This window comes from Homo sapiens, chromosome 10 (assembly GCF_000001405.40).
Source record: "Homo sapiens chromosome 10, GRCh38.p14 Primary Assembly".
In the NCBI taxonomy this organism is placed as follows: Eukaryota; Metazoa; Chordata; class Mammalia; order Primates; family Hominidae; genus Homo; species Homo sapiens.
The window spans coordinates 25,903,120-25,912,032 of NC_000010.11; the positions used below are offsets into that span (position 1 = coordinate 25,903,120).

The following is an 8,913-nucleotide window of genomic DNA, read 5'->3' on the forward strand; positions in this document are numbered from 1 at the left end:
CCTGATTCACCCTCCCAATCCTGCTACTCAAACCTTTTATTCTATGCCCAGTCTTCCCCATCTCCATAAATGGAATACCATCCACCCAGTTGCTCAAGCCAAATATTTCAGAGTCAATGTAAATATTTCCCTTTCCCTTACTGGCTGGCCACTGTCTATCTAATTTCAGTCATTATAATCTCATCATCATCTCTCCCTGGATTTTATATTTTTATTTAGCTTCGTCTTCCTAAATCTTCTCCCTGCTTTCATTCAGAGTCCCCTCTAACCACACAAAACCAGAACTTCCTTCTTAAAATAGAAATTAGATCACATCTCTCTTCCCAACTGGAAACCCTTCGGTGACTTCTCATTGTACTTCAAGTAAGATGCAAACACCTTTCCAGGGCCTCCAAACCCCTGCACAATTGGGTTCCCAATACTCCCTAACACCACCTCCTACACCCTCCCTGACTATATTTCAGTCCCTTGAACAAGCCAAGCTCCTTTCCACCTCACAGCCTGTGCACAAATTGTTCTCTCTGCCTGGAACACTCTTCCATTTTGGCATAAATGTCTGATTCCTTTCTGACCTTCAAGCCAGAATTTCAAGGTCAATTGCTCAGAGAGGCCTTCCCAGTACACCAACTGAAGCAGATGACCTCCTCACCTCAGTCATTCTCTAGATCCACATTGTGTCTTAACAGCACATAAAATAACTTGTATTTTATTAGTTTTTCATTTTTTTCGTGTGTCTGTCTCTCCCAAAGGTTGTAAATAACTTGAAGGCTGGGGCCATATCTGTCTTTTCCATTTTTTCACTTGCAGTGCTCAATACAATGCACTGTGCTGGGCATAGAGAAGATGTTCAGTAAATATTTGATGTAAGAAATTGGGTCATTGGATAAAACAATCTTGTAAATTTCCATCGTTAAAATGCCCTAGATATATAATAATTTATTTTCACTCATTACTGAAAAGTCAGAGATGAAAAAAGACAACACATTTTTGTATGTTTATATGTATGCTTAAAGGGTTAGAAGTATTTGATCTTTTATGGATCAATTGTTGAAGAATTATCTGTTGCCTAGAAAGAGGTCATGTGAAAGAGGCAAATGTAAATGCAGGAATTTTGCTCATTGCAGTTAATTGACACTTTCAGGGCCAATGGATCACATGAGTCACTTTTTAAAAATCTTTCTCCTATTTTAGAGGATACAGTGGTTTGAAACCAACATTACAGCAGCATGTTTCATAGGACTTGTTCTTTATTGATCATGGGCAAAGATTAATTTCAAGTATGTAATTGTCATCTGAGGGCCTGACTTCTCATGGGCCCCAGCTGCTTTTTTTCTGTATAATTTAGATTAGAAGTTGACTGCAGTGAATGCCATGCTGTATCTCTCAGATCCCCCTCTTTGGAACTGAGGCCCTCAACCCCCAGCAGCTAGAGCACTGTTGAAGAGAGCTAAGGTCTTGTCCCAGCTCAGGGGATGGTCCGTATTCAAGAGCTGCCCTGGGCATGTTGGGGGTGGAGGAAATCCAGCCTCTTGCATAAGGTGACAGCACAAATCCAAAGGGCCATTCCAGCTCCGGAGATCTGTTGGACAATTAAGGCCTATGTTGCATTTACATTGACTGCATTGGGTTCAGCTCCTGCCTCTATCCAATCCTACTTTCTTTACTTCCCTACAGATGTTGTTCCCAAGATCACTGCCAGTAATATTCCTGCAGCCAGATCTCCATCTTAAGGTGGAAAAGATAATGTCTCTAATATGGTCTGGCTGTGTCCCCATGTAAATCTCATCTTGAATTGTAGTTTCCATAATTCCTATGTATTAGTATTATGGGAGGGACCCAGTGGGAGATAATTGAATCATGGGGGTGGTTTTCCCCATACTGTTCTCATGGTAGTGAATACGTCTCACAAGATCTGATGGTTTTATAAGGGGTTTCCCCTTTCTGTTGGCTCTCATTTCTCTCTTTCCTGTTGCCATGTAAGATGTCCCTTGCTCTTGATTGTGAGGCCTCCCCAGCCATGGGGAACTGTGAGTCCATTAAACCTCTTTTTCTTTATAAATTATACAATCTCAGGTATGTCTTTATCAGCAGCATGAAAACAGACTAATACAGTCTCCTTCTTAAGACATTGATTAAAGTGATTTGGTGCCACTTTTTTTCTACCATTCCCCTTTTCCTTGGCTTGAAAGGAGTCCTTTGGGGAAAGGGTGAACAAGGGAGTCTACTGTCCAGCTCTCCCCTAACCATAGGTGGCAGTTTTGAAAATGTGGATGGCACAGTCTCCTGCTGACCCATCTTGAAACCGAAACTATCATCTATCTCCTTTCTACACTCCATGGCTTCTTCCCAGTACAGATAAAAAGGTAAGACGGACCACTTCATTCTAATTAATTAGGAAGAGACTAATCATAGATACATACTTTGATATAATTACAGTTGCCCTCCTGACTGTGGTTTTGCACTCCAAAGCTTCCCCATGGTCAACTTCAGTGCAAGAATACTACATATAGTAACATACGTTGAGAGCGAGACAGAGATCACATGCACTTGACTTTTGTTACAGTATGTTGCTATAATTGTTCTATTTTATTAGTAGTTATTGTTGTTTTTCTCTTACTGTGCCTAATTTATACATTAAACTTTATCATAGGTATGCATATATAGGAAAAATCACAGTATATATAGGGTTCAGTACTATCTGTGGTTTCAGGCATTCACTGGGGGGTCTTGGAATGTATCCTCCATGGATAAGGTGAGACAACTGTATTTTAAAAACATGTGTTATGAGCTGAATTGGGCCCCAATCCCCAAAATCAGATGTTGCCATCCTAACTTCAGAATGGGATTGTATTTGGAAATAGAATCTTTAAAGAGGTAAAGTTAAAAGGAGGTCATAGATGTGGGCCCTAATCTAATACAAATTGTGTGCTTATAAAAAGAGGAGATTGGGACACAGCCACACACAGAGGGAAGACCATGTGAAGACACGCAAGAGAAAAGACAGCCATCTAGAAGCCAAAGAGAGAGGCCTTAGAAGAAACCAACCTTGCCAAACACCCTGATCTCAGGCTTCAAACTTCCAGCACAGTGAGAAAATAAATTTCTGTTGTTTAAGCCACGCAGTCTGTGGCACTTTGTTATGGCAGCCCCCGGGAAGTAATGCAACATGGAATCATAAGAGTCATGGATTTTGTTTCATGTCCTTTAAATGCCCTGAGCACAGCTAAAAGCCCCCACAGAGGGGCTCCAGAAAGTCTCTAGGCTGTCTGACTTCTTTGCACCTTAACCTGGTTTCTCTGACCCATCCTTTATTTCTGCTTGGTGAGGGTATTGTGAATTGGTCATTTGGTTTTAGAGTGTTTCCTCCAGTCACACCTTGAATTCCTGTACACGCCTTCCTCTGCTTTTATGCTGTTGCTGTTGTATCCTGCACCCCAAGCTCCAGGAAGCGATCCTGACCAAGTTTCTACTAATCTAGCTCTTCCTGAAAGAGGAAATGGACTGGAAATTTCGAGAGCTGCACACAGCTTAGAAGACCCAAGTTACTAACTAGGGAATCATAATATTGATTTTATTCTGATCCCCTACCTAAAAATTTAGCAAATACATCTTATTGGACAGCCTGGTGCTTCCTAGATTTAAGGCATCTGACTATAATGTATTGACCAAATTTAATTAAGGGAAAGAAAAAAATTAGTAAATATATAGATTTGAAAGGTTTGAAATGATAATGGCACAATGTCCTGCTGACCCCTGACCCATCTTGAAACTGAAACTACCATCTGCTTCCTTTCTCTATTCCTTAGTGTCTTTCAATTCTGCACAAATGTCTTGTCCCTTCCTGACCCTCTGGAAGATAGATAGATAGATAGATAGATAGATAGATAGATAGATAGATAGATAGATATTATAAATAATATGTAAATAAATATATAAATATATATATTTCAGAAAAGAACATCATTGTAAGTGACAATTCCCATTGTCCCCCAGGAATCCTTTATGTGACTCTTTGGGGCCTACATTCTGTCTTCCCAGGCACACTGCCGATCAAATCATCCCTGATGATTGTCTCATGGCACCATCGTGCTTCTGCCGTCTTGTTCCTGCACCACCACAGACACTCAGGAGCTCTCAAGGGGCCTGGACTGTATAGTGTTCTGTGGCACAACAGGCACCTCAATCTCATGCAAGTACAGTTAAAGAGCATCAGATCTGCGCTGCCCTCATGGAAATGCTCAGCTTCTGGTACAACAGCTGTTTAATTGCTTCACATACAGCCCCCTCTCCTGTCCTTGGATTCAGTCAAGGTGCAGGGACACATTTGAGTGACAGGTTCTGCTCTGTGCTCCATAGTGATGACTAAGGCTTTGTTTCTGGGTCAAGCTTGTCACGACTCATTTTTCCCTTAGGAGAAGCTCTCTACTAGCATATTTCTCAGTGCCTCATGCAAAGAGGCTTCTGGTAAGCTGTCCTGCTGGCTTTCCAATATGCCCGGGAGAGCTGAATAGTCACTTCTAGGACACGCCAGGGACTTCCTGCCTCTAGTAACTCTCTCCAAGACTTCCCTTAAATATGTTTATAGGGTGGGAGTTATAGACAAAAAGTAGAGAAGATACCATTGCTTCTTGAGGGAGAAGTTCAAATGCTGGCTTTATTTTCTCTGGATATTCTACTTTGCTCTTGTCCCTATTGTCTGGTCTGAGTTAGGATATTCAACCTTTGACTTATTATCACAGATGGTTCTAGTGCCCTTACTTGTGTAAACCAAAAAGTATCTGAGACAGGTCTAAATCAATTTAGAGGTCTCTTTTCCCAAGGTTAAGGGCCATGGCCCATGGCACAGCCTGAGGAGGTCCTGAGAGCATGTGTCTAAGGTGGTTAAGTTACAGCATGGTTTCATACATTTTAGGGAGACAGAAGTTACAGGCAAAGACATAAATCAATACACGGAAGTTATACATTGGTTCAGCCCAGAAGGGCAGGACATCTTGAAGGGAGGTAGGGGACATCTTTCAGGTCATAGGTAGATTCAAAGATTTCCTAATTGGCAATTGGTCAAAAGAGTTAAGCTCTGCCTAAAGAGTTGAATTTGGGAAAAAAAAAAAAAAAAGGCTTGAGTAATTTAGATAAGGGTGACTGTGGAAGACTCTAGGTAGCAGGCTTCAGGGAAAATAGATGGGAAATATCTCTTATCAGACTCTAAAAAATTTCAGACTCCCCAGAAAAGACCTAGTAAGGGAAGGATATTCTCTACAGAACAGACATTTCCCCCATAAGAGATGTTTTTGCAGAGCCCTTTCAAAGTATGTCAAAGAAATACATTTTGAGGGTAAATATTTTGCCTGCTATCTGTCATATGATGCTATACCAGAGTCAGATTGGAATTTGGTGTCCTATTGTTACAAAAAGTCTGTTTTGTTAGTCTTAAGATCTCTGTTTTGATTCTAATGTTGGTCAGTTGTTCCTGAACTCCAAAGGGCAGAGGCCAGAATGAGGCATGTTTTGCTCCTCCTTCCTGTCATGGCCTGAACCAGTTTTTCAGGTTTCTTTGGGGTCCTCTTGGTCAAGAGGGGGCCCATTTATTCTGTTGAGGAGGCCTAGAATTTTATTTTAGTTTCACGCTTGTTTACTAGAGAGTGATGACGATACATCCAAAATCTGTCACCGAAGATCTTTGTCTTTGTAGATTTCCTGTCAGCCTAGTCTTTGTTGGAAGATCAGCACTCTGTTCTGGCTGGCTCCTGAATTTACTCAGTGCACCTCCTCCCTTGATCATGGGAGGAGTTTGAGAGCTTTTTCAGTAAAAATAATAGTTTCTTTCTGTGTGGAGTCCAGATGAAAGATAAACACTCATGGATGTTTTAGTTTAAAAAATCCCATGTCTAATTTGATGTGGAAATGGATTTTTTAAAATGATGTATATGATGACATTATATTTTGGACTGGAGAGACAGTGATATGGTTTGGCTGTGTTCCCACCCAAATCTCATCTTGAATTATAGCTCCCATAATCCCCATGTGTCATGGGAGGGACCCCGTGGGAGGTAATTGAATCATGGGAGCGAGTTTTTCCTGTGCTGTTCTCATGATATTGAGTAAGTCTCATGAGATCTGATAGTTTTAGAAAGGGCAGTTTCGCTACATATACTCTCTTGTTTGCTCCCATGTAAGATGTACCTTTGCTCCTCCTTCACCTTCTGCCATGATTGGGAGGCCTCCCCAGCCATGTAGAACTAACTGTGAGTCCATTAAATCTCTTTTTCTTTATAAACTACCTAGTCTCAGCTATGTCTTTATTAGCAGCGTGAGAATGGACTAATGCAGTAAATTGGTACTGGTAGAATGGTGTGCTGGTATAAGGATACCCAAAAACATGGAAGCAGCTTTGGAACTGTGTAAGGGCAAAGATTGGAACAGTCTGGAGGGCTCAGAAGAAGACAGGAAGATGTGGGAAAGTTTGGAACTTCCTAGAGACTTGGAGAGTTCAGAAGACAGGAAGATGTAGGAAAGTTTGGAATTCCTGGAGACTTGTTGAATGGCTTTGACCAAAATGCTGATAGTGATATGGACAATAAAGTCCAGGTTGAGGAAGTCTCAGATGGAGATGAGGAACCTGTTGGAAACAGCAGTAAAGGTTACTCTTGCTATGCAAAGAGACTAGTGGCATTTTGCCTTTGCCCCAGAGATCTGTGGAACTTTGAACTTGAGAGAGATGATTTAGGGTAGCCAACAGAAGAGATTTCTAAGCAGCAAAGCATTGAAGAGAAAGCAGAGCACAAAAGTTTGGAAAATTGGCAGCCTGATGATGTGATAGAAAAGAAAACCCCATTTTCTGGGAAAAATTCAAGCAGGCTGCAGAAATTTGCATAAGTAACAAGCTGCAGAATGTTAATCACCAAGACAATCACAGAAATGTCTTCAGGGCATGTCACAGACCTTCACAGCATCTCCTTTCATCACAGGTTCATAGGCCTAGGAGGAAAAAATGGTTACTTGGGCCAGGGCCTCGCTGCTGTATGCAGCCTTAGGACTTGGTGCCCTGTGTCCCAGCCACTGCAGCCATGGCTAAAAGGGGCCAACATGCAGCTCAGGCCATTGCTTCAGAGGGTGCGAGCCCTAAGCCTTTGCGGCTTACACATGGTGCTGGGCCTGTAGGTGCACAGAAGTCAAGAATTGAGGTTTGGGAACCTCTGCCTAGATTTCAGATGATGTATGGAAATGCCTGGATGTCCAGGCAGAAGTGTGCTGCGGGGCAAAGTCCTCACAGAGAACCTCTGCTAGGGAAGTGCAGAAAGGAAACGTGGGGTGGGAGCCCCCACACAGAGTCATCACTGGGGCACTGCCTAGTGGAGCTGTGAGAAAAGAGCCACCATCCTCCAGACCCCAGAATGGTAGATCCACTGACAGCTTGCACTATGCACATGGAAAAGCAACAGACACTCAACACCAGCCCATGAAAGCAGCCAGGAGTGGGGGCTGTACCCTGCAAGGCCACAGGGGCAGGGCTGCCCAAGACCATGGGAACCCACCTCTTACATCAGCATGACCTGGATGTGAGACATGAAGTCAAAGGATATTATTTTGGGGCTTCACGATTTGACTGCCCTGCCAGATTTAGGACTTGCTTGGGGCTTGTAGCTCCCTCATTTTGGTCAGATTCTCCCATTTGGAACAGATATATTCCTGTATCCTCATTGTATCTAGGAAGTAACTAACTTGGTTTTCATTTTACAGGCCCATAGATGGAAAGGTCTTGCCTTGTCTCAGACGTGACTTAGGACTGTGGACTTTTGAGTTAATGCTGAAATGAGTTAAGACTTTGAGGGACTGTTGGGAAGGCATGATTGGTTTTGAAATGTGAAGATATGAGGTTTGGGAGGGGCCAGGGTTGGAATGATATGATTTGGCTGTGTCCCCACCCAAATATCATCTTGAAATTTTAGCTCCTATAATCCCCACATATCGTGGAAGGGACCTGATGGGAGGTAATTGAATCATGGATTTTTCCCATGCTATTTTTGTGATAGCAAATAAGTCTCATGAGATCTGATGGTTTTATAAATGGGAGTTACCCTGCACACAGTTTCTTGCCTGCTGCCATGTAAGATGTACCTTTGCTCCTCCTTCACCTTCTGCCATGGCTGTGAAGCCTCCCCAGCCATGTGGAACTGTGAATCCATTAAACCTCTTTTTCCTTATAAATTTCCCAGTCTTGGGTATGTCTTTATCAGCAGTGTGAGAACAGACTAACACAGACAGTAATGTTGTACAGGATTGTTCAAGTGTTTGTCATCACTGAATCCTTCAAATATGTAACTTGGGATCATCTGCTGACCAGAAATGACTTTGTTCAATACAATATTCCTTGAGATAATGATGTTTTCTATTTTTTACTGGTATGTAAATGTGAAATGCTGCTGCTATTAAAACAATAGTTTAGAGCTAATGTGTAATGAAGTTTTTGTTTGTTTGTTGGCTAATTTTTCCATATGGAAAATCATATGTAAATATAGCTTTCTAAAAGATTTAGCAAAAGTGGAAAGCAAGAGAGGTAGAAAAGAGTTGATTCCATGAATGTGAAACAATGGCCCTTGATTTTTCACTGTGCTGTCATCCCATCCAGATGTGCATGTGACGTGGTGTTGGAGAATGCTCAGGGGACAGACCCAGGAGCTGCTGCCCAAGGATTCTTTGACAGAATCCCAATCCGGGATTCTTTGGAGGCTTTTTCTCTGCAGTATACAAATAACCCTGAGTATTGAGCCCTTCCTGAGATCAAAGTTAAACATGAGAGCTAAAGGTAGAGCTAGAGGACATAGGGAAATGCAAACCCAGTAAAGCTCTGGGGAAAGAGGCTCGCCTATGCACTCTGCAGAACCTCTACCTCCAGCTTCAATGTCTGCACCCAAG

General features: G+C 42.2%; 1 long non-coding RNA gene across 1 annotated transcript; it reads left to right on the top strand.

Moving 5' to 3' along the window:
- Positions 1-2,813: 2,813 nt before the first annotated feature.
- LOC105376460 (uncharacterized) lies at positions 2,814-8,913 on the top strand. Its single transcript, XR_930761.2, has 3 exons — positions 2,814-3,087; positions 4,039-4,248; positions 8,627-8,913. It is a non-coding gene; the product is annotated as an uncharacterized LOC105376460 (long non-coding RNA).